This window comes from Homo sapiens, chromosome 3 (genome assembly GCF_000001405.40).
Source record: "Homo sapiens chromosome 3, GRCh38.p14 Primary Assembly".
Classification (NCBI taxonomy): domain Eukaryota; kingdom Metazoa; phylum Chordata; class Mammalia; order Primates; family Hominidae; genus Homo; species Homo sapiens.
In genome coordinates, this window is record NC_000003.12 from 56,800,007 (window position 1) to 56,825,542 (window position 25,536).

Genomic DNA, 25,536 nt, shown 5'->3' on the forward strand with positions numbered 1-25,536 from the left:
CCAATGAAGAAAATTAATATTTGACATGTGATAAGTTTCATATTTGTGATATATAGACATATCTATATTCTATGTATAAGAATAAAATGAAATTAAGCAGGCAAGTTTTACCTAAGCCTTTAGCTAAACTACTCAAAAACACAGGACTAAGTAATAGTAGGAAGGGACTGGTTAGAGTCCTCAGCTATCCTCACTATTCTTTTCTTTGGCCCACTTCAATTTATTAATTTATTGGTTATGCCTTTCTTCCTTACAAGTGGAGTTTGAGTGGGCACCAATTGCGCTGCTCCTATGTTGATTAAATTAGGAAGTTCCCACTGAAAAAATATTATATCCATTCCAGGCCTGACCAACCTGAATTCTATGCAAATGCCACTAGGGCCATCACACTTTCACAGCTGCTGGCAACAAAAACTCTTTGTGATAATATTCGACTGAGCTGGAGTGTAGGGTTGGGTTTGAGTGAGGGAGAAGTTAGTTTGTGCTCAGCGTATAGAAAGCTGAATACAACCAGAGACTGCTTGGAGTCCTGTCAGCCTGGAGCAGCTCTTGCTAGAGGAAATGAATCTTTGATGGTGTGCTCCCGAATATACATGATTCAGTGAGCCAAGTGCATACAGCTGAGCAGACCCAAGGAAGGCGAGTGGGTGGAACCTCAAGAATGCTGTGACAAGGCCGGATGCACACCTGCCTTCAGCCTTTCCCCAGTGGTGGTGGTGATGTTTGATGTTCGCAGAGTGAGGTGTGGGAGAGTGGAAAGCTCCCAGATACACGCATGAGCGGCAATGACTAGCTGGGTCCTGTGGGTTCCACCGCAGCTTGACCACAGCAAAGCTGTAATCTAGCGAAAGCGACTGTATTCCCTAAGACCCTCAAAGAGAGGGATGCTTTCTCCTCCAGCTGAACCCAACCTTTAAGGCCAGTGAGCTATGTGCCAGAGAAATAACACGCAAGAGGAAAAGGCAGACTAAACATAACCTGGGAGCACTCCTTCACATCGCCCGCAAGGCACAGGAAAGTTCCCAGAAAGAGAAATGTTTCCAATGTTCCAAGGCAGCTTTCCATTGACCCTAAGGACTTTAATTCATTTTCAAGATCCATGTGGGAGACACTCCAATTTACTCATTTAGCCCCAGCCCCCCGGCTGAATGACCCTCACTGGCCACAGGTGATAGGCAGAGGCGCTGTGTCCTGTTTTTGCTGCCAAAGGGCTGCAAGGCCAAGTCTGACAGGTGAGAGGGCTGGTACGTCCCTCTGCTCTCACAACCCAGGCAAAAAAAACTCGCTTAAAGGGTAGCGACACTGGGGCTTGCTGACACTTCCCTGACACTGGGGCTTGCTGACAGTAGGAGAAAGTCCCTCTGAGAGTCCAGACAGAAGATGGACAGTCTGAGAGCCCTGCAAAGGCAAGGAGGCAGTTGCTCCCAGACCGGCAGGTAGAGGGACAGGGAGAGAGGAGGCAGCTAGTGCTTGGTCCACAGAGAAAAAGCGAGAGAAAAGGAGACAGGGTGAGAGATGGCGACGGGGAGACACAAAGAAGACTGTGGGAGAGATGTAGAGAGAGAAAGTGGCACACACGGAGAGTGAGAGATGGAAACAGAGACAGTGACACTGGACGGGCGCCGAGAATGGGAGATGGAGGCAGACGAGACAGGCAGATGACCCATAGAGGTCCAGGTGCAGGGCGCGGCCCTACCTCAGCGTCCTTGGCCGGACCGCTGGCCGGGGGTAGCTCCAGGCTGCAGTTCGCTCTCTTGACCGTGAGGTAGAAGGGGTAATCCTTGGCCACCATGGCGGCTGCCGGGCCTGCCCTTTGGGATGTCACCGCTGACCCTAGGCGACTACAAAACTCCCAGGCAAAAGGGGGCCCCAGCTCCACGATGCCGGGCGGCGGCGGCGACACGGAGACCGACAGCCGGCTTCTAGCCGGGCAGGACTCGACTGGGCTCCGGAGCCGAGTGGGCGGGACCGTGCCAGCCACGCCTTGATGGGTGGGGAGGGGGCGGGCCGCCGGCTCGGCACCGCCCCACGCTGCCGGGAGGGCCCACGTGCCGCAGCGCGGACACCTCCTGGGGCTGCGAGGGGCGTGGGGCGGTCCCGCGGGTGGAGAGGGACCTCTCTCTCCCCGCTGGTATTCGACTCCGGGCGCCCCCGCAGAGCGTGGGCCGCGATTGCGGGGCAGGCAGACCCCATGATAGCTCCTTTCGGGCTCTTTGGCACTCTCCGGGTGAAAGGCTGCTGGTAGAAAGGAGGCTGGGGCGAAACCGGGCAACGGGGAGAAAGGAGGCTGTAGTGACACCTGGAGGCAGGAAGGAGCCTGGGGGGAAAAGCGAGCGTTTTAAAAGCCCACATTAGAAAGGGGTGGTGTTCTCTCTTACCCTGTTCCCAGGCCACTGCACGTTTTTTTTGTTTTGTTTTGTTTTTGTTTGGTTTTTTAAATGAATGTCAGTGGAATATAATCTACAAATGGCAAAATGCACCCATTTTAAGAGTACCGTTTGTTGAGTTCTGACAAATGTAAACACCCGTATAACCACCTCCACAGTCGGTATACGAAACATTTCCACCACCCCCGGAAAATTCCCTCGAGACCTTTCCCACTTTGCACCAACTTTTAAATTTGACTAGCATATTCAGAGGCTGCCTGACACTCGAGGGCAATCTGACAGAGTGTCCTTCAAGTATAAAGCTGTGCATGGATGACCTGGCACTACCACACCTTTCTGGATCCTTTTTGGAGAAACAATGACATTATAAATGCCCAAGAAGGCGATTGATCTTAAGGTTGTTTGCAGCAGCCCTGTCTGGGGCAGTAAAAAATAAAAAATAACTGGAAACAATGGTAATATATCCATCAATAGGGAGTGCTTAAATAAACTTTCTTCACTGTGTAATACCGCTTAGCAGCAGTGAAAAAGGAGATGGGTCTATGGGTGTGGCATGGAAAGATCTCCAATGTATTAGACTCAGTTTAAAAATAATTGCAGACTAAGCATAATACAATACCATTTGTGTTAAAAAAAAATACAAGTTTACCAAAGAATATCATATATTTTCTATAAAGACATATTTGTGGGTAAATAGCATTGAACACTGTCTACAAGAATCCACAGCAAGCTTTTACCAGTTCCCCTGTGGCTGAAGGGAGGCACCTGGGTTTAAAGAATTAAAGATAGTGAACAAAAGGGACTTAAGCTTATAGCTCATGTTTTAAAATTTTTTATAAGAAAAATACAGCCTGGGCAGCAGTGAAACCCTGTGTCTACAAAAAAAATACAAAAAATTAGCCAGGGATGGTGGTGCACACCTGTAATCCCAACTACTCCAGAGGCTGAGGTGGGAGGATCACTTGAGCCTGGGAGGCAGAAGTTGCAGTGAGCCAAGATCATACCACTGCACTCCAGCCTGGGTGACAGAGACCCTGAGAAAAAATAAAAAAGAAAAGAAAAAAAGAAAGAAATAGAGGAAGGAAGAAAGGAAAAAGAAAAGAAAAGAAAAGAAAAAAGAAAAGATGGCTAGGTAGAGTGGCTCACACCTGTAATCCCAACACTTTGGAAGGCCAAGGCAGCAGTGTGGCTTGAGGCCAACAGTTCAAGACCAGCCTAAGCAACATAGCAAGACCCTGCCTCTACAAAAAAATTTAAAAATTAGCCAGGTATGGTAGTGCATGCCTGTAGTCTCAGCTAATCCCGAGGTTGAGGTGGGAGGATTCCTGAGCCCAAGAGTTCAAGGCTGTGGTGAGCTATGGTTGCACCACTGCACTCTAGCCTGGTGACAGAGTGAGACCCTGTCTCAAGAGAAAAAAAGAAAAATACCTTCATTCATGGCACTTCTTGGGAAATTATAGTTTTTTAAAATATTATAATTATCATATTTTCTTTCTTTTTTTTTTTTTTGAGATAGGGTCTTGCTTTGTTGCCCAGGCTGGAGTGTAGTGGCATGATCTTGGCTCACTGCAACCTTCTCCTCCTGGGCTCAAGTGATCTTTCCACCTCAGCCTCCCAAGTAGCTGGGACTACAGGCCTGGACCAGTGTGCCCAGCTAATTTTTGTATTTTTGTAGAGACAGGGTTTTGCCATGTTTGCCCAGGCTGGTCTCCAACCCCTGAGCTCAAGCAATCCACCTGCCTCAACCACCCAAAGTGCTGGGATTACAGGTGTAAGCCACCATGCCCAGCCCTAAAATGATCATCTCTCAAAAGTTATTTTGTAGACTGTACTGTTGAATCTTTTTCCTCCTCATGTGGAAAGTCATGACTACATCAGGTGGTGATCTATGGAGACACTATCTTTTGTTTTTACTTCCTGGGGATGCAGGGGATAGTGGGAATGGTGATATCCAGTCCCTGTTTGCGTGCTCTTTGCTTCTAGCTGAGGTCAGAACCCAGCAGTTCCTACTTCTCAGGCAGGACACCTCATAATACATAGCTCTTCATCCCAGGTATCAAATCCACACCCTCACACTAAATCCACTTACTTTCCTACCCAGCTAGTGCAGACAAACTGCCTTTGGAGGCAGAAAGAATTGGGCCCTGTGTAACCAGCCTGTTATTACCACACATGTAAATGAAGCTCCTGAATGGGTGGAGGTTCCAACTGAAATTGAAGAGAGCACCTGAGTTTTTTTCCCTCGATAGATAACCTGAAGCAATAGGAAGAAAACTGTCTCAGAAGAGGTATGGGGCAGGAAAGAGCACCTCAGAACCACTGATTTTTCCTATTTGTATTCCTGAACACAATTTTATCCTTTTAGCCTGAGCTGTGCTGATGGGGAGCTCACACAAGTGCTCCAAAAGCTTAGCCAAGCTTGGTGGGGGTGTGAGAGTAACCTCATCTCCAAGTAGCCCCTGATTAACTATGCAGCCAAAGGCAGGGCCAGAGGCAGTGACATGCGTCACTCAGGGCTTGTCTGGCCACCAAGAACCTGTGCCCAAGTACCCGAGCCACTTCTTATTCCTCTTTCTCTGCCTGCTCTTCTGGCCCTCACAGTCCACTATCTCAACTAGAACACATTTGCCATCAAAGCCACTGGCTTTGACTCCCAGAAGAGCTTGCTGGGCCGTGTTCTCAAGTTGGAAAATATACTTACAGCACTTGGTGAAGAAAATAGTCACCCTGGCGACGTCTGATAGCCCTGGGACTGGGTTGCTCATTGCAGTATCCTTAGGGCCAAGCAGGGAGTCTGACATACCATAAATCCAGTGTAACAGTAAACAAACCCTAAGAAATATGTTTATTTTATTTTTTTGAGACAGGTCTCACTTTGTTGCCCAGGCTGGAGTGCAGTGGCACAATCTTGGCTCACTGCAGCCTCAACCTCCTGGTCTCAAGCAATCCTCCCGCCTCAGCCCCTCAAGTAGCTGGGACTACAGGCACACGTCACCACGCCCAGCTAATTTTTATATTTTTTGTAGAGATGAGGTTTCACCATGTTGCTCAGGCTGGTCTTGAATTCCTGAGCTCAAGTGATCCACCCACCTCGGCCTCCCAAAGCGCTAGGATTACAAGCATAAGCCACTGTGCCTGGCCTCCGAAGAAATGTTAAAGTGCAACTTAGGTTGAAGCACAACTATTGCAGAGCAATGAACAGTCATATTGATTGATGAGAAGGCTGCCGTATCCATCTTCTCTTAAAACATTTCTTTGCTTTCCTTAAAATATACTGGAGCCATAAAAATCAATAAATACACAGGGCTACACAACATATATATGACAAACATACCTCTTTTCCACTATACATGCTAGGCAAAGAGAGACAGACAGAGGCAGAGAGATTACTAATGGCCTGTAACAATTTAAATAGTGCTATAAAAAAGCATAAGCTACAAAAGGAAAGATGGGAATCTGGAATTCTCTTGGGTGGTCTGATTCTTCCAAGCTTCTTATAGCACGAATGTCTCACCATCCAGAATAGGATTCTGGTGTTTAAATACAGATATTTTTGGTACAACAAAGCCTATAAACTCAAGCCAGCAATTTGGGGTGCATACAAGCCATGTATATGGTCCTTGAGGCATTTAACAAATTTTTCAGGAGTATTTTTTTTTAACTTCCATCAGTATATAGGTTAAGGTCAGGATTAGCTATTTCAGGAGTATTTCTGACCTCATGCAATTTCCACCTTGGTCCCTGACTTCAGCACCTTCCCCATATGTAATGCACTGCTCCACCATTGACAGATTGGGGTTTTAGGCAATCTGCCTGAGACACTATCTGGGGGTGTCCGTGAACAAAGACTGTCAGAAAACAGGCACCCCTGCAGGAGGGCCTCCAAGCATATCCCTAAGGTTAGTGTCACAGTTGAGGGAAGCTGGTCCAGTCCTGCAATGCCGCCAAGCTAAGTGGCCCCAGGAGCCCAGAGCTCCCCATTCTGCCTGTGTGTGTGTTTACGGGCTTAGGAACAACACTGCTCTAACAGGCAGCTTCACTCAAAGAAACGGCACAAAGTGTCTTTCAGAACTTGCCTTCGGCATAGCCCGTTATAATCCTATAAAATGCTTCACAGCCGGGCAGTGTTCCTTGCCAGCCAGAAGCCTGGAGACTGAAATAAAGAGGGCTGTTCTGCATTTGCAGGAACTGTGCCAAGCACAGGGCCTGTGGTCTTGCCTGTGTTGAGCGGGGGTCATTTGGGCTGCTGGTGGAATGGTAGGCCTGAATACAGAAGCCCACCACTGGTTATTAGCTCCTTTTAGACTTGCAGACAACCAGGCATGGCTTGGAGACCATCTGTCAACTCCTTAAATCCCAGTCCCATGACTGGGAGCAGAGCAGGCCTAGCCTGAGGATAAAACCAGAAGCTAACATGGCTGTGACAGCCTTCTCAGCCAACAGGACAATGCTTTGTCCTATTAGCGTTATATTTTAACATAAGGAATAGCGAGTTCCTTTTTTTTTTTTGAGACACAGTCTTGCTCTGTTGCCTAGGATGGAGTACAGTGGTGTGATCTTGCTCACTGCAACCTCCACCTCCCGGCCTCAAGCAATTTTCCCGCCTCAGCCTCCTGAGTAGCTGGGATTACAGGTACACACCACCACGCCCGGCTAATTTTTTGTGTTTTTAGTAGAGACGGGGTTTCACCATGTTGGCCAGGCTGGTCTCGAACTCCTGACCTCAAGTGATCTGCCCCGCCTTGGCCTCCCAAAGTGCTGGGATTACAGGTGGGAGCCACCGCGCCAGGCCTGAGTTCCTTTTTCTTTAAAGGCTTGTTCATCCATCCGTTCATTCATTTATCAAATAATTAATGAATGCTTATTACAGTCAGGTGTTCAATTAGATACATTTCTCCCCTCCTCTTCTCCACCCATTCCTGAACTTCTATGCCAGGCAGATGTTTAATACATACTTGCTCAAAGAATAAGGCCAATTTTAAAATGTGGCCTTTCAATTGTAACCTATGTGTTTACATTTGAATAAGGAGCTCAAGGAACAGTAGCTGATCCCCGAAAGCCTGGGCCTCCAATATGTGTACCTCTGTTTGCTTTCCCTGGTATCTGAAGTCATCTCTTCTACCTGCTAAAGTGGCATGGATGTGTAGGTATATGGTGGGCACATGAGTGTTGCAACACCTTTCCCCTCCCCTTCCATTTGGGTGACATTTCCAGTTAATGACCAAGCCCCCCTCTCCTCTCTCTAATTTCAGTTTTGATGGGGAGGGAACCTAAAGAAGTTCTGGCAGTGAATTCTGGCAGATCAGGACTGTGATTTACTGCTAGATAGGTAAAAATGGCACAAATGAAGCAACCATCATCTCTAAACTCATACCAGTATTACTATTCTCCCTTTGCCTGAGGAGCTGTCCACTGACTCCAGTCTAGATTTACAAAAATGTATCTCTGGGCTGGGTGCAGTGGCTCATGCCTGTAATCCCAGCACTTTGGGAGGCCAAGGCGGGTGGATCGCCTGAGGTCAGGAGTTCAAGACCAGCCTGACCAACATGGTGAAACCCCGTCTCTACTAAAAATACGAAAATTAGCCAGGCATGGTGGCGGGTGCCTGTAGTCCTAGATACTCGGGAGGCTGAGGCAGGAGAATCACTTGAACCTGGGAGGCAGAGGTTGCAGTGAGCCGAGATCGTGCCACTGCACTCTAGCCTGGGTGACAAAGTTAGACTCTGTCTCAAAAAAAAAAAAAAAAAGTATCCCCGGATAGTCTAAAGCTGGAAGGCTTAATTCTTGCATTTTCTTTAAGGTCTCATTTTCTGAAAAACTGGTTAAAGGAGAGTATCTCTCTCTCCCAGCTGAGCTAATCCTGTGGATTATCAGCTATAAAGCAAAAAAAATAGTAATAATAAATTAGCCAGTCACAGTGGCTCACGCCTGTAATCCCAGCACTTTGGGATGACGAAGCAGGAGGATTGCTTGAGCGCAGGCGTTCGAGACCAGCCTGAACAACATAATGAGATCCCCATCTCTACAAAAAAAGAAATATCCGAAAAGTAGCTGGGCGTAGTAGCATGTGCCTATGGTCCCAGCTACTTAGGAGGCTGAGGTGGGAGGATCCCTTGAGCTCAGGAGGTCGAGGTTGCAGTGAGCCATAATCATGCCAGTGCACTCCAGCCTAGGCAACAGAGTGAGAACCTGTCTCAAAATAATTAATTAATTAAAATAAAAATAAAAAATTAGCTATGAAATTAGCAAATTTTTTTGTTTTTTCAAAAAAATAATAATATTGAAGTGTTTTGCCCTGAAACATCATAAACATTTGCTAGCCTCTGGTTCATAAGAGCAATACTTCTCAACCAATGGTGATTTTACCTCCCAGCAGATATTTGGCACTGTCTGGATGTATTTTTGATTGATTGTCAGTGGACAAGGCCAGGGTGCCATTGGCATCTAATAGGTAAAGGCCAGGGATGCTGTTAACACTTATGATACACAGAACAGCTTCCCATAACAAAGAATTAGCAGGTCCAAAATGCCAATAGTGCCACTATTGAGAAACGCTGTGGTAAAGAGAGAGTGGTCCTGAAATATGGTATTGGAGCCAAGGGAATCTGTGGGTATTGACCTCAAGGTATTTTCACTTCAGACTTTGATCATTGATTAGTATCAAATATCAGCTTAGGCTTGGTGGGGCAAAGAAGAAATGCTTGAGTGCCAAGAAACCCCAGAACAGGGCAATGAATCAAGTCTTCCCTGATGCCCAAACCTGACCGTTGGCTGAATAACAAATTCCATAAAACACAAGACAGACAAAAGAATAAAGAGGAATATAGGAGTAAGGGAGTGAGGGGACAGAAAACTGTCTTAAACTGCTTCAGGTACACAAATATACTTTAAAACACCAGTGAAAATTAAAATTTCAATGAAATATAATAAAGAAGAAACCAGGGAAGAGGGAATTTTTTTCAAGTCTTATTCTTCCCCAGGACAACCTTTGCCACTATATTTGTTTTGGGGGGCAGAAATGCAAACTCAGTGATTAAATGAAAACCCTAAGGGGTTTAATTTACTATTTTCTTGATATATGGTGTTTCTGGATGCACAGTTTGTATAAACAAAAACCTGTCTCACTGAAGATTTTGCAGTAAGAAACCTGACCTTCTCCAATTTGAACTTATAACTATCAGCAGGCTTGTTCTGCCCACAGAAGTAATAAAACATTTTCTGTGTACTACTAGAGTGTCTTTGAATTTTCTGGAGAGTCTGCCTTTGAGAGTATTTCATATTTGGGGGTTAAGGATTCAATAAATATGTTATATTTAATTTTTAAAATATTTTTTACTTTACTTTTTTTTTTTCCTTTGTGACAGAGTCTCACTTTGTCACCCAGGCTGGAGTGCAGTGGTGCAATCTCGGTTCAGTGCAACCTCCACCTCCCAGGTTCAAGCGATTCTCCTGCCTCAGACTCCTGAGTAGCTGGGATTACAGATGTGCACCACCATGCCTGGCTAATTTTTGTATTTTTAGGAAAGACTGGGTTTCACCATGTGGGTCAGGCTGGTCTCGAACTCCTGGCCTCATGTCATCCACCTGCCTCGACCTCCCAAAGGGATTACAGACGTCAGCCACCGTGCCTGGCCATATATTTATTTAGTTATTTATTCCCCTCAGACTACAACTAAGGTATTCCTTTATGTGGGTTTCGTATAGTAACCATTATTCAGAGAAATTAGAACCTAAAATGTATACATTCCAGCTTTGGATATTAGAGGTGTTTTCTCCTCCATCAACTACAAACTCAGTAATCAAAGTACCGTATTTTGTCGAACCTAAGACTGTAATATGTGCTATTATTTTATGTACTCTCTAAAATAGGCTGGGTGTGGTGGCTTACCCCTGTCATCTCAGCACTTTGGGAAGCTGAGGCGGGCAGATCATTTGAGCCCAGGAGTTGGAGACCAGCCTGGGCAACATGCTGAAACCCTGTCGCTACAAAAAATAGACAAAGTAACTGGCATGGTGGCACACATCTGTAGTCCCAGCTACTCGGGAGGCTTGAACCCAGGAAGCAGAGGTTGCAGTGAGCTTGAGACTATACCACTGCACTCCGGCCTGGGTGACAGAGAGAGACTGAGTCTCAAAAACAAAAAGAAAAGAAAAGAAAAGAAAAATATTGTCAATTAAATTATATGATCAATTGTAAGACCCTTGGCAATTCAAGAGAAGTTAACATGTGGAGGAAAATGTGTAAAATAACAAAATATGGCAGTATTCATATCATCTGGCCTGAATTTGAAAACCCATACATTTATAGAGAAATGACTTCTGAGGAGTCAGGGACACTCCCAGAGACCACCTGCTGTGAAATTGACTAAGAAGCTTATCAAATCCATATATATCCCTAAGGCCCACTTTGGGTCCAATGAATTGGAATCTTTGGCAGCAGACCCAGAAATCTGTAAAATACCCTCAAAAAGCACTGTTCGAGTAACATACATAGTGTTATGAATCAGAATGATCAGCAAGCCCAATAATGATCCCCCAGCCACAGGCTAGAAATGCTCTGACCACAAATCTTCAGTCCTGAGGTGCACAGGGGGTAATTAGCCCAATGGCTGTAGCATCAAAACCCAGAATGGGAATAAGGAGCCTCTTAATTTGTTCATCCAAACAAACGTGCACTGAGGAACTACTGTGTGCCACACCATGCTATATACAGATGGGTGCCTCAAGGATATGATGAAAAATTGACAAATCTATACTCCGAGTAAACTACCAAGTAAGCCACCCACTAGGAGATGTGTTCTGGCTCTTGGGACTTGATTTACAATCTGGTATCCAAGGTTCCAATTTAAAACATGCTTATCTTCATAGCCAGAGGGCATGACAGCATTTACGTTTTTAAAAAATTAGCTGTAGAGCAGAGAATGGGAGGAGGGCACTTGGCTTGAGATGTTTACTTGAAAAAAGACCTAGGGCTGGGGCTGGGGCAGATGGTGGGGGTGGGGGCATGGGCAGAAGACTTTAATTACAGAACAAGTTCAACTAGTAGAAACAGGTTCGGGGACTCCTGGCAAATATGTGTCTCATCTGGTGGGAGTGGAAACTGGCTGGCGTATGCTAGAAGCAGCATATTAGCTGAAAGTGTTCTGTGTGCTGTGGGTATTAGACACGCTTCACAAAGGGGCTAGTTGGTGTGGGTTAACTGAATGCTTTGGTTAAGTGGGAGCTGAATTAAGACAGTTTCTGCTTTACTTGATTTTTTTTCCATCTCAGAGCCAAAACCAAGCTCAGCAAACATAGTTCGCATGTGCCCACAATTCTGATTAAACCAAAAGCCTTGGCAATAGAGGACTGAACAGAAGCACTTAGTCACTAGTTCCCCAGATTTTATCATTGCACTATCATTTGATTCTTCAACTCTAGCATTAATAAGTACAACCAACTGATAGCTGTGCCTAGCTAATTCCTCTCATTCAAGGTTGTCTGTGACCCCCAGGCAAGGGTAATCCTTGTTTTGTGCCCTCAAGGTGCCAAGTACCTCTTCTTCCCCAGTAGTCAGCCTGCTCATATTGACTGATTTTATGTCTGTCTCCACTGCCTGGCTGCAAGCTACAAGGGGACAGGGACCATATCTATCTTGCTCATCACAGTAGCCCCAGCTCCTCCTATTACGCTGGCACATAGCAGACTCTCAGCTCATATTTGTTGAAATGAAAATTAAATTGAAATGGGGCTAATCAAAGAACACGTCACGGAGGAAGCAAATCCAGAGAAGATTTTTGCAAGGAGGAATACACCATATTTAAAACTTCTGAGATGGGACCAAAAAATAATATGCAGAATACTATAGTGGGCTGTTTGAAATTTTGAAAGGTAATTCAAATAGGCCCCTAATTTTAATGTTTAGCTTCTTGAAGAGTCCAAACCACTTTGAGAAACGGCTCCTACAGTGTTAGACTGTGGGGGCCTCTCAGATATGATAGAGCTTTCAGTTCCTTCCAGCTGTTTACACACTAATTCCTGAACAAGGTGGACTTGCCAGGAAGGCTGAAACTAGTGACAAAGGGACATCAAATAGCTTATTTTCAAAGACACTGTGCAACATGCTCATCTGCCCTTTTCCTTCCCTTTAAAGGTTATTTCTTTCATTCCCTTCTCTAGGTTTTTGATTCCAGGTTAAACTCTACAAAAATGTTTTTTTCCTCTTAACTTGCCATGCTCACACCTAATGCCATTTGTATCAAAACTCTGTTTTCTTGAGGTGGGCCCCAAGGGGCTGACTTTTAAGGGAGGGGGCAGATTTTGCCTGATGTTTCTGCAAGATTAAACATGGTGCTTATCTGAAGTTCAAGGCTGATGATAAATTATAGACTCAAGAACTTTTTATTCAAAGAAGCCAAAGGAAGAAGGAAACTTCTCTGCTAGCTGCTCCACCAAAGGGGAGTCATGTTCTCCCCTCCTAGAGCCTTACAAGAGATAATTTTGAGAGCTCATTCTGGTTTAGAGACAATACATGGTGAACAAAGCTCATCTGTCATTGAGTGGGAGGTAGGGAGGAAAGAAGGTAAGAGAGAATTAAAATTGTAAAGCCAACATCATGTGGATTCCTCCTTGAACTTTAATAACCCAGTGCTGCCTGCAGGCTCAGAAAAACCAAATGCAATGGGTAGGTACAAGGATTGCTCTGGTGCCAGGAAAATGCAATAAGACATAACTTTTATAAGGTAGGCAATGAAAGAGTGCCCTGCAGGAACAAAACAGGCTTTTAACATCTCCAAAGTTGGCAGCCAGATGCCTGAAACATTGGTTTAGTGCATCCAAAACACACAACAGATAGAACCACTTTCTTTAAGATGAAGTCATCTTCCAGGAGAAACAATAGCTGGGAAGGCTGGGTTTTTATGATTCATGGGAGGAGGAGAATTTGATCTGTATTTTCTTTGCCACAGTCTATCCCATTTTAATGCATGTTAGAGGTTTTCCACATGTTAGGCAAATTTTCTAGAATGTTTTGAAAGGGAAAAAATTCTGCAGACTGCCTCAGTTACTGAAAGAGTTCTCTTTCTCCCCTGGCTGGGGAGGGATCCAGTTCTGTCTCACCGTGTTATCGAAAAGATCTGAAACTACAACTCTTCATTTGGATTCTGCTGTTATGAAATGCAGTTTGGGGTATCTTGTTACACTTTACTCCCAGAAGTGTTAAAGGAAGTGCCTGTCATCAAAATTCAAAAATAAATATAAAAATGATGCTGGCAGAGCTCAAAAACTAAAAGGATCAGCATTTTGCTTCAGTTTCCTGTTCATAAAACTTTATAAAAACAACCCACCCATTTAAAAAAAACCTGTAACAATAGTTCACTATTCTTTTCCTAAATGCTTGCCTCATGCCACTCTGAAATTAGGTGCCATCACGTTTCCTGAGTTATGGGCCCCAAACACCACATCCTTTTCCTCCCTCCCACACCCCCACCCCACCTGGCATCATTCCTGAATTTAGATGCTTCTCCAGTTTCTGAGCTCAGTAGACAGATGCCAACATTCTCCCTCCTACCTGTCCTGAAGTGGCCAAGCATCTGTACCAGCTGGAAGCAGGAATAATTGAGGCTTCCTTCCCCCAAATTAATTCTCACTTCCTAGAGAAGCTTTTAATATGGAAGGTTAAATTATAAAGTGAAGAGCTAGTAAACTGAAAAAGAATAAGATATTTCCCTCCCACTCTGCCTTTACAGCAAAATTTTCTTTGTGGAATACTCAACACTCTGTCCTTCTTTCTGGAAGAACATAGAATACAAGCTCTAGAACAAGCTTTTCCAACCCATGGCCCACAGGCTGCATGCATCCCAGGATGGCTTTGAATGTGGCCCAACATAAATTTGTAAACTTTCGTAAAACGTTATGAGACTTTTTTTTGCGATTTTTTTTAAGCTCATCAGCTATTGTTAGTGTTAGTGTATTTTATGTGTGGCCCAAGACAATTCTTCTTCCACTGTGGCCCACGGAAGCCAAAAGATTGGACACCTCTGCTTTAGAATGAGAAGCCTGGGTTCAAATACCAAGTTTTCACTTGCCAACTATATGACTTTGGACAGTTTACTTAATGATGACAAACATCAGTTTAAGCATCTATAAAATGGGGATATGAGAGTTTCAAGGTTTTAATGAGTTAAAAACACATGAATAATCCAATAAGATAATATGTATGTCAGATTTCTAAGCATACAGTTAGCACGTCATGCTATTATTAACCCTTCCGGTAAATAAATCATCCTTCTCCCTTTTTTTTTAAATGAATTAAGGAAAAAAGGTGGAATTTGGAGAACTTTTCCAACACTCCTTGCTTCCAAAGACATTAATTCTTTGATTTAATCTTATAATTTCAAAAAAGGATATGACTGTTGCACATATATAAAAGAAGCAGCAGAGTGAAGAGTGAACTGACCTAAATTAGAAGACATGGGCCAGGTGCAGTGGCTTACACCTATAATCCCAACACTTTGGGAGGCCAAGGTGGGAGGATCACTAGAGCCCAGGAGTCTGAGACTAGCCTGGGCCACAAAGTAAGACCTCATCTCTACAATAATAATAACAATTATTATTATAACAATTAGCCAGGCACAGTGGCATATGCCTATGGTGACAGCTACTCAGGAGGCTGAGGCAGGGTGATTGCTTGAGCCTAAGAGTTTGAGGCTGCAGTGAGCTATGATCGTGCCACTGCATTCCAGCTTGGGCAACAGAGCGAGACCCCACCTCTAAAAAAATTAAAAAAAAAAAAAAAAGAAGACATGGTATACAATCTGGCCCTACCATTAAGTCTGTGGTCTTGGGCAAGTCAAGTGATCTCTCTGAGACATAGATTCTTGAACCATATAACAAGGTGATTTAAACATAAATGTGTATGCTTCTGTGATTCTATTAAACAGCAAAGACTGAAGTGTATATGGAGTATTATCTTGATTTTATGCTATTTAATTTCAGGAAAGCTTTCAAATAAAAATTCATATCTTATGTACTGATGAAAGCACCCTGTCTAAAATTAGCATGTTTGGTATAGGCAGCCCACATTTTGGGTTGGTTCAGCATGGTAATATTTTATGAAGGCTCATCAGAAAATTAAGCTCAATGTACTCATTTGTCAAGAAATGCATATGCATATAGATTCTTTTAATATCAAATGGCAAAGCAAACAAGAGGTTGAAACAGAGGAAAGATCAACTATGAGAAAAGAATTACTGAGGGAAAATGGAGACAGACTACAAATGGGATAGAACTGGCCTAAAATATACCACTGTCACTTAAAAATAGGTACTCGGTTACATAGTGCCTGTGTTATCTTTACAACAGCATTTGGTTCCTACACTGTCTTCTTCCTACAGGCCTGTTATGACTATGAGAGCTATCTGTTCCTTCAGTGGACCAAGTCTTGCTGCCTTGTGGATTCTGCCCAGTCACAGCTTCCCTTCTGCCCTTCAAGGGTGGGCTGCTTGCATCTAAGTGGTAGGGCCATACCTAATTCTGTTCTGGATATAACACAGATGACTGACTGGGCTTGGTGGCTGATGTCTATAATCCCAGTACTTTGGGAAGCTGAGGCAAGAGGATCACTTGAGGCCAGAAACTCAAGACCAGGCTGACCAACATAGTGAGATCCTGTCTGTACACAAAATGTAAAAATTTAGGAGGGCATGATGGTGCATTCCTATAGTCCTAACTACTTTAGAAGCTGAGGCAAGAGGATGGCTTGAGCCCAGGAGTTGGAGGTTACAGTGAGCTATGATTGTACCACTACACTCCAGCCTGAGTGACAGAGCAAGACTCTGTCTCTAAAAAACAAAACAAAAATACACATCTAGATGGTTGCTGGCATGAGATGCTAAACCACAGGCTTCTCAAAGCTGAGGGTTCTGTGCAACCCTGGCCAAACTTCTTACCCAAAATACTTACTTACATTAATGTTGTCCATTTATAAGAATTAGAACTAAAAACAAAGATACCTTGCAGCAACTTCTAAATAGTGCCCCATAAATAACAAATAGCACTAGAATTACTTAATAAATCATAATCTTCATTATTCTCTAGCATCTGTTTCCCCTACTAGATTGTACGCTCCAAAAGAATCATGAATCGCTTGTACAAGGCTACATCCCCATTGCCAAAAGATGCCTGGCAAGTGATGAGAGCTCAGTAAATGATGCTGAGAGCCGAAGAGGTGTTTGCTCTCTGCCAGGCACTGTGCTTTGACTTTAATGAAGTATCTCAAGTAATCCTTACAACAATCCTATGAAATGAGTACTTCTATAGTAGGAGAAACTGAGGCACAGAGAGTTCAAGCAACTTGCCCAAAGTCACACAGCTAGTAAGCAGCAGAGCTGGAGTTCAAATGCAAGCACCTTGCTTCTAGAACCTCAAGTTCCAATTCTGAAGCGGAACGTTAATTCACAGGCCAGTCACAAACCAGGGAGTCCTGAGGCCAGAGCCTATGATGCAAGGGTCAAGGATTTGAGCCTATATGATATGACTGAAAGAACACTGAATGAGAAGCAGTGCTGACTTGGGTCCAGTCCTGTGACGTTTTTGCTCACCAGCTTCCCCTGCTGATCAATCAGGGGGTTGGATGCTCACTCAAGTCCTTGTCAGGTGTCAACCCCAAGTGCTAGAGTCACCCTAGACATAATCTCACATCCAGAAAACTACAGAGCACAGTGTGCTCTTCCACCTTCCACGAGGGAGAACCACCAAAATATCAACCATCAAGCAAGTTACTCAGTCTCTCAGAACTTCAGTTTCCTCATCTGCAATCAGGACCAAATAGCACCTACTTCAAAGGGTGGAGGTGAAGATTAGAGAGAAACCTGGTTAAGGGGCTACCACATAGTAATAATTTCATAAACAGTAGCTAGGTTTATTATGGTCCCAAACAGAGCGAGGAGATAAGTCTGGAGGAGGAACGAATCTCTTCAAAACCCAGGAACCAACCAACCAGTTGGAAAGACAGCTCTGAAACTCAGATTTTTAAACAATTTCTAACAGTAGACTACATGTGTGGCACATCATCCAAGCAAAAAGTTCCATATCAGATTCTCTTTCAACAAATGGAGTAATAAAGACAGGTTTGAGTTAACTTCAGCTGGAACAGAAAGAACCATTATGACTTGGGAAGTTCACACCTGAGTGCTGAAAAGCTAGAAAATAATGTTAGGTGCCATTTGCCTTATGCCAGACCTGTGACAAGCATGTGACATATATTACCTTACTGAATCCTCACAACCTGCTGAAGAGGGTACTGCCCTGTTGTATAAATGAGGGCATGGAGGCTCAGAGAAGATAAGTAACTTGCTCAAGATCACACAGCTACTAAATAGCCATGCCAGAACTTACTTAGTCTGCCAGAACGTTGATGGTCTTAACCACAAAGCTACACCCTTCCCCAAAGATAGCGTGTCATTGGCCCCAGCATGCCCCGTACCCACAGGGCAATCATGTCCACACCATGGGCAAGTGGCTTTATAGGAAGGCCACGCATGGGGGATCAAGTGGCCTTGGGTTTTGGTCCCTGTTTACCCACAGACTGTGGCAGCTATGGACAAGTCATTTAACTTTCCTGGACCCTGTTTTGATCAAACAGAATGTACTGGATTAAAGTTTTTCAGTCCAAGTCTTGTGGAACATTAATCACTTACATTTTATACCCGAGAGGTTAGGGATAAAAGAGGAGCCAAAGACATAATGAGCTAACCCTCTGTCCTGGGACTCTGGCTAGGGGAAGAAGTGGAACACATTTGTTACCAAACAGAACTGGGTGACCCTCAGTTCCCTTCTATCTTGAAAATTCTGAAACTCTACTGAAAATTCTGAAATTCTCCTGAAAATTCTGAATTTTATGTGACAGGAGAGGACAAAGAAGAAAAGGACTTCAGGGAGTCATGTGGGAGGTGGCAGGGTGGCCATCTCAAAGCTATGTTTGCACAGCGACTACAGTGTACATGCTTAGCTGGTAAGCTTATTTGAGGTGCTTCTGGAGTGAGGGGGCTGGTGGAGATAATGGGAAAGGAAGCTAAATTCCTCCTCTTGAAATGACTAGTATTGCATACAGCAAGCACTCTATAGATGCTGATAGAACTGAATTCAAAGGAAAAAAGACCTGGATCAAACTGATAGAAGTTGAGCTGCTGCTCAAGATGTATGAATATCTCAAAAATGCTAACAATTGCTTTTGTTCTCAGCCACCCACCCTGCCATAAGCCATTTTCAGTCTCAAGATCAATTCTTTTTCGTGAGAATGAGCATACCTCTTTCAGCAGGATAACCACAGGTAAACCTCCCCCTGCACCCCCTGCTGCCATCCTACGCGCTTGGAATATGAACAAAGGTGAACTGTCTGGCTGATAAAGAATTCTGCTTGTTTTCATTTGTATCTTTGCCCAGGGTCGTGGCAAATATTGTTTCATGGGTTTCCAGCTTTGTTTTTGGAGCTCAAAGGATAAAGTGCTCCCACAAGAAAGAATAAAGAGAGAGGAAAGAAGGTAACGAAAAAAACTATTTCATTCAAACAGCAGAAGTCCTTTCTTCCCAGGAAAGGTGACAGTATGCTACATCCTCTGTCTGAGCTGCCAAAGTCTCCATCTAGAGATACTGACAGCAACAATAAACTTAAAGAATTTTTTTATACTTGTATTCTAAAAACAGGACTTAAGAGAAGACTAAAGTCTTCTGATTCCCAGCTGATGTTTTTACCATAAAACTAGGCTGCCTCATGAACATATTCCCTGGGCCACAAAAAGGTTGACTCATAATAGGCACTCAATAAATATTTGTTGAATGAATTAAAGAACAAAAGAAAGGAAAAGGCACAGAAGGTATGTATCAAGGGCTGTCAACATAAGAGGACCAATTGGTTGACATTTAAAAAGCTTTGTGTATCTTTGAACTCAGGTCCAGAATAGTCCCTCCCTCATCCTTCTCCATGTTTTAAAATACCATTCATTATTCAAGTCTCAGACCAAGTTTTTCTTCTGAGAAGCTTTCCCAGGTCAACCCAGCCCTGTGGAGCTAGTTTATTCTTTTGAGTTCTAACAATTCTTATTACTACCACTTAATTAACCATGTTCTACCAGGTGGCAGTTTTTTTTTTTTTTTTTAAAGACAGAGTCTAGCTCTGTCTCCCAAGCTGGAGTGCAGTGGTGCAATCGTGGCTCACTGCAGCCTTGACCTCCTGGGCTCAAGTGATCCTCCCATCTCAGCCTCCTGAGTAGCTGGGACTACAGGTGCACCACCATGCCTGGCTAATTTTTATTTACTTATTTATTTTTTGTAGAAATGGGGGTCTTACTACGTTGCCTAGGCTGGTCTTGAACTCCTGGGCTCAAACAATCCTCCTGCCTTAGCCTCCCAGAGTGCTGGGATTATAGGCATGAGCCACTGCATCTGGTGCAACTTTTTTTTTTTTTCTCATTTTGTCATCCAGGCTGGAGGTCAGTGGCACAGTTGTGGCTCACTACAGCCTGGACCTCCTGGGCTCAAGCATTCCTTCCATCTCAGCTTCCCAAGTAGCTGGGACTACAGGCGTGCACCACCATACCCAGCTAATTTTTTTAGTTTTTGTAGACATGGGGTTTCACTATGTTGCCCAGGTTGGTCTCAAACTCCTGGGTTCAAGTGATCCTCTCCCCTTGACCTCCCAAAATGTTGGGATTACAGGGGTGAGCCACTGCACTCAGCCTAAGCTAATGTCATCATTTATTCCTACATTCAACTTTTATTGACCTACCAGTTTAATGGTCAATTGAATTTTTGTGCTGTTATACTACTGCCAGGGGAGGCCAGTAGCAACTGGTATCTGCTCAGCTGTATAAGACTCTACCCAGGGAGGTACTGTAAGGATGTGCTGTGCCCTCAAAATAACTTCATGCTAAAATTAAGGAAGATGCTTATCAAACCTCCAGATCTACTCACCAGTTTACAGAAAACGGGGATAGAGGAAAACATTAAAACACATAATGAGAAAGCACACCTGAATCCTGGCTAGAAAATATTCTGCCAGAAAAATGACCTGGTTTCCTCAGCAAGAGGGTAAAAAAAAGGGGGGGACAGTGAGATTTTTCACAATAACAATGATAAGAAATGGGTGGACCAGTCAGGCACAGTGGTATATGCCTGTAGTCCCAGCTACTTGGAAAGCTGAGGCAAGAGATCACTTGAGCATAGGAGTTTGAGACCAGCCTGGGCAACATAGTAAAGACCTTCTCTCTTAAAAAAGAAGGAAACAAAGGAATGAGTGGACCATGTTGGGATACTGATTCAAACAAATTAACTGTACAAGGACGTCTTTGAGACAAATTAACAAGAATTCTTCAGTATCACCAAATGTGCAGTCTGAAGTAAAATTTGAATATGAGGACATGCAACTTTGGACTGAATATTAGATAACATTGAGGAATTATTGTTAATCTTGTCAGATGGGATAAGGGATGGTGACTTATGAAAAAAAAGTGGTGGTTCATGCCTGTAATCCCAGCACTTTGGGAGGCCAAGGTGGGTGAATCACTTGAGCCCCAGGAGTTTGAGACTAGCCTGGGCAGCATGGTGAAACTCCACCTCTACAAAAAAAAAAAAATACAAAACATTAGCCAGGTTTAGTAGGTGCATGCCTGTAATCCCAGCTACCTGGGAGGCACCTGAGCCTAGGAGACAGAGGCTGCAGTGAATGCAGTGAGCAGTGATCGGGCCACTGCACTCCAGCCTGGGCAACAGAGTGAGAGACCCTGTCTCAAAAAAAAATAAATAAATAAAAAAAATAGGGTCCTTATCAGGTAGAGAGGTATAGCAGAGTACTGATGAGTAAAGTGATATATGGCCAAGGTTTGCTTAAAATACTCCTAAAAACACAGTGTAGTGAGACTGGGAAGAAGTTAGTAATTGTTGAAGCTGGATGATGGTGACCAGGTGCTAATTATACTATCCTCTCTACTTTTCCAGTATAAGCAGATCACAAGGTATCATGATTAACAAACTAAGTTATTCAACTTAGAAAGTTATAATTTCTTGTTATATGCTGGTGAGGGTACAGTTTCTCCAGATATCATATTTAACACTAAATTATCCAACTTAAAAATTATCATTTTTGGTTGGTCAATGCCATTGAGGTTATAAGTGAAAATGGCATGTGTAGAACCATTGATGACAGTAAAAACTACTGTGATATCTAGAGATGTCAATACCTACCAAGAGCAATACAAATATGCAAATATCTTAGCCCAATATCTCTACATGTGTGACTTTACCAAAATAAAATAATCCAATGGCTGGGCTCACACCTGTAATCCCAGCACTTTGGGAGGCCGAGGTGGGTGGATCACCTGAGGTCAGAAGTTTGAGACCAGCCTGGCCAACATTGTGAAACCTTGTCTGTACTGAAAATGCAAAAATTAGCCGGGCATGGTGGGGCAAGCCTGTAGTACTAGGTACTCGGGAGGCTGAGGCAGGAGAATCGCTGGAACCGGGGAGGTGGAGGTTGCAGTAAGCCAAGTCGCACCACTGCACTCCAGCCTGGACGACAGAGAAAGACTCTGTCTCGAGAAGAGAAGAGAAGAGAAGAGAAGAGAAGAGAAGAGAAGAGAAGAGAAGAGAAGAGAAGAGAAGAGAAGCGAGGAAAAGAAAAGAAAAGAATCTAAAAGAAGAAAAGATTTTCAGTGTAGTGTCATCTAAATAGTGATAATTAGAAATAATAATAGACTAGCTACTAAGTATGAAGAATACACTATGTACTAGGAACTATGTTAAATGCTTTATATACGTTATTCTCCTCTGAACAACCCTTTCAGGAAAGTATTATCATTCCCATGGCACAGATGAAGAAAGCAAGCCCTTAAGATCGCACAGCTAGGAAGTGGCACAGCAGGAAATCTGGGTCAGGCTGGCTCCAGGGCCCACACTTTCCAGTCCTGCACTAATTGCCCTGAAATCCAAATGTCAGGCAATAGGGAATGTTTAATTAGATTATAGGACATCCACTGCATGAACACTGCATAAACAAGTATACTGATGAAGCCAAGCAAAATGGGAACATGCTAAGTTAATGAAAAGCAGGATGAAAACTGTTTATGAGGGCACCTATATGTATATATATATGTGAAATATACATGTGGAAAAGCTTGGCAGGGAAAATACACAAAATAAAAATCACGGTTGTGGCCGGGTGCAGTGATTCATACCTATAATCCTAGCACTTTGGGAGGCCAAGGCAGGTTGATTGCCTGAGCTCAAGACCAGCCTGGGCAACACGGTGAAACCCCATCTGTACTAGAATTACAAAAATTAGCTGGGTGTGGTGGCAGGCACCTGTAATCCCAGCTACTCCAGAGGCTGAGTCAACGAGAATCACTTGAACCTGGAAGGTGGCGGTTGCAGTGAGCCGAGGTCATGCCACTGCACTCCAGCCAGGGTGACAGAGTAAGACTCTGAAAAAAAAAAAAAAAAATCACGGTGTATCAGAAGGAAGGTCTCCCAATGATGGGCCATGTGGTTATGTTGTTTTTATTAAAAAGGGGAGAGGTAATGGAACTGAGGTGCACACAGCTGCTGATAGAACCAAGGCATTTTGGTAGTGGTGTTTCCGTAAATATTGTAAACCATCAGTCTCTTCAAATTTGTTTCTTCTTCTTTGGAACACTACCAAAACTAAAAGAAGAAATATTCCACTTTTCCTCCCCATGTATCTTTCCAATGACCTCTGCTAGGAATTCACCTACTTTTGATCAGGAAGCAATCATTATTATCCTATAGTTTCCTCTTGCAGCAGATGCAGAGTAAAATGTTACAATATAAATGTATGTCTTAAATATAAGAGGGAAAAAAAGACAACAGCTCAAATGAATCTATAAAGGCTTGTTTAATGATTGAAGTTCTCTCTGAGTCTTGTGAAATCCTCTCACAGGTCATTTGTTATTAGCATGACTGAAAAAGTCACCAGAAAGCAGGAGCCCCAATTCTCCATCTTGTCATGGTCCAGCCAGGCATATCCTAACTGCATCTACCAGACTGCTAATCACCTCAAAATCCAACCCCACAGCCCAGCCTCCTGTTCTCACTTTTCTCCTCCTGCCCTTCACCTTGCTTGGAAAGACACATCTGACTGGCTCCCAGAATCAAGTTCACTGGGAGATTGTGGACTTGGAAGTGCTTTGGAATCTATGAAATGCTCTACAGATGGGAGGTTATCTTGATTAAAAAGCTGATATGTGCCCTTGTGTATTTCTTTTGCCATAAATGAATTCCAGAGATGTTCCTTGGGGAGAGAAAGAAAACCCCAAATAACTAGACCCCAGGTTATTTTAACTGCCAGAACCAGGGTTGCAATAAATAATCAGCTTCTTATGACAAAGCTTTTGTAACTGCCCAGGGGATAATTATCACCTGAAAAAGGCACTAATCTGTGAGCCAAACCACATGACCATTTGTGAGTCTATGTGGTATTTGTCAGTACCTGTCACCAAGATAACAGCTTAATCTTGAAAAGGGGAGTAAGAATATGTTAGAGGAGACTTTCAAGAGATTCCCCTTTAAAAAACTAAACAAAGAGAAAAGATCTTGAGGAAAGGAAAAAAAAAAAAAAAAAAACAGAACGAGCCAGATGGACGAGAAGGCTGTACTAAAACCAGTCCTTCAGGGAGTTAGTGCAAACTTTTGTCAAAGATTATGGAAAAGCTACTGTTTCAAAGCCTGTGGACATCAGAGGAAAAAACACAAGAGATAGTTTGCTTAACAGAGAGCTTTAAGCAATTCAAGTTCAAACAGAATTCCAGGAATTAAGAAGAGAGGAAATTGCAAGGTGCTTTGCAAACCACTGCAAAGAAAAAGATGTTTACAAAATGTCAGTGATAAAAATGGAGATTTTGTTGTGGTGGTATTTATTTTGGAGGGGGAAGGAGTAAGAATGGGACATAACAATAGTAATAGTAATCATAAATGGTTGCTTTACTAGCAGCCAGGCTTTTTTGATCACAATTAGGGGCAGCATTGTGCTGAGCACTTTGTAAGTATCATCTCCTTTAATCCCCAGGACAACCTTTAGAGCTCAATCCTTCTAATGACTCCCATTATAGATGAGGAAACTGAGATTCGGTCAGGCTCTACTACTTCTTTGAGGTCAGAGTGACAGGATTATGATTCAAACCCAAATTTGCTTAAAAGCCTAGCCTTTGAACCATTTACACACTAGTATATAATTACCAGGTCTCACAGCTCAATACTGTTTTTGAAGATTATTGGCAATTATTAAGTTCAGAGCTGATGACCAGCTTGGTCAGCTTTCCACGTGCTTGCCTTCTTTCCTAAAGATAAAATGAGAGGAATGAACTACTATCCAGTCCACTTTAGCAATTGTTTAGGGTGTTTTCTGGAAACTGTGGGAAGGAATGGATTAGAAAAATCTAGGAGTTCATTTATAGCCCATCATTAAGAGCTAATGATATAACAGGATTCTCAGAGTAAAACACTTCAGTGGCATCACTGTTTAAAGATTTTGTTAAACGATGTATACCTGTAAAAAAGAGTGAAGAAACTCTGTGAGGTGACAAGGTCAGGGTGACACAAGCCAGTTAATTATGCAGCACTGTTAGGAATCCATATACTGGAGTGTAGCAGCCCCAGTCTGGATTCTGATTCCACCAGTAATTTGCTCTGAGACCCTGGGTGAGTGAGTAATCTTTCTGAGCCTCAGTTTCCTCGCCTATAAAATGGGGATGAAAAGAGTACCTCCCTCATAGGGCTATTGTGAAAACTGCATGAGATGATGCAGTGAAGGCACAGGGCACAGTGCCAGGCATGGTAAACGTCAGCTAATATTCCTGGCACAGCCAACAAAGTAGCCATGCCACTCCATTTACAGAGACCCCTGCACTCCACGCCACATTCTTCACAAGCTATAGAATATTCAGGTGTGGAATGAGTTCTAAAATGACGTTCACAAAAGCACCAATTTAAGAATCCAGCCCAATTTGAGACCTCATTCTTTTTCCAAACTATAGTCAGCAGTTGGGAAGAGGGAAACAATCCCTCTCTATGTTCTTTTCTGCTGGGATTTGGTATTTGACAAATGCCAATTACATGATGATAGCTTTTCTGACAAATTCCATTTAGGATCTCAGAAACCCAT

The 25,536-nt window shown here is 43.4% G+C and overlaps 1 protein-coding gene across 19 annotated transcripts in view, besides 1 other annotated feature; it reads right to left on the bottom strand.

Moving 5' to 3' along the window:
- The window catches only part of ARHGEF3 (Rho guanine nucleotide exchange factor 3), a 351,849-nt gene that overhangs the window by 72,587 nt on the left and 253,726 nt on the right, over window positions 1-25,536 (bottom strand). For 3 of the 19 annotated variants that reach the window (NM_001377414.1, NM_019555.3, NM_001377415.1), the window contains exon 1: window positions 1,697-1,943. The exons of the other annotated variants lie outside the window; for them this stretch is intronic. In NM_001377414.1, the coding sequence (NP_001364343.1) occupies window positions 1,697-1,792 (96 nt within the window). In that variant the 5' untranslated portion in view covers window positions 1,793-1,943. Of the gene's footprint in view, window positions 1-1,696; window positions 1,944-25,536 lie in introns of those variants that run through there. 19 annotated transcript variants of the gene reach the window in all.
- Window positions 1,943-2,112: a silencer, noted in NCBI's record as "silent region_14472". NCBI's record gives its function as "represses an Ori minimal core promoter by ATAC-STARR-seq in GM12878 lymphoblastoid cells {active_cell/tissue: GM12878}" and the evidence as "EXISTENCE:reporter gene assay evidence [ECO:0000049][PMID:35858748]".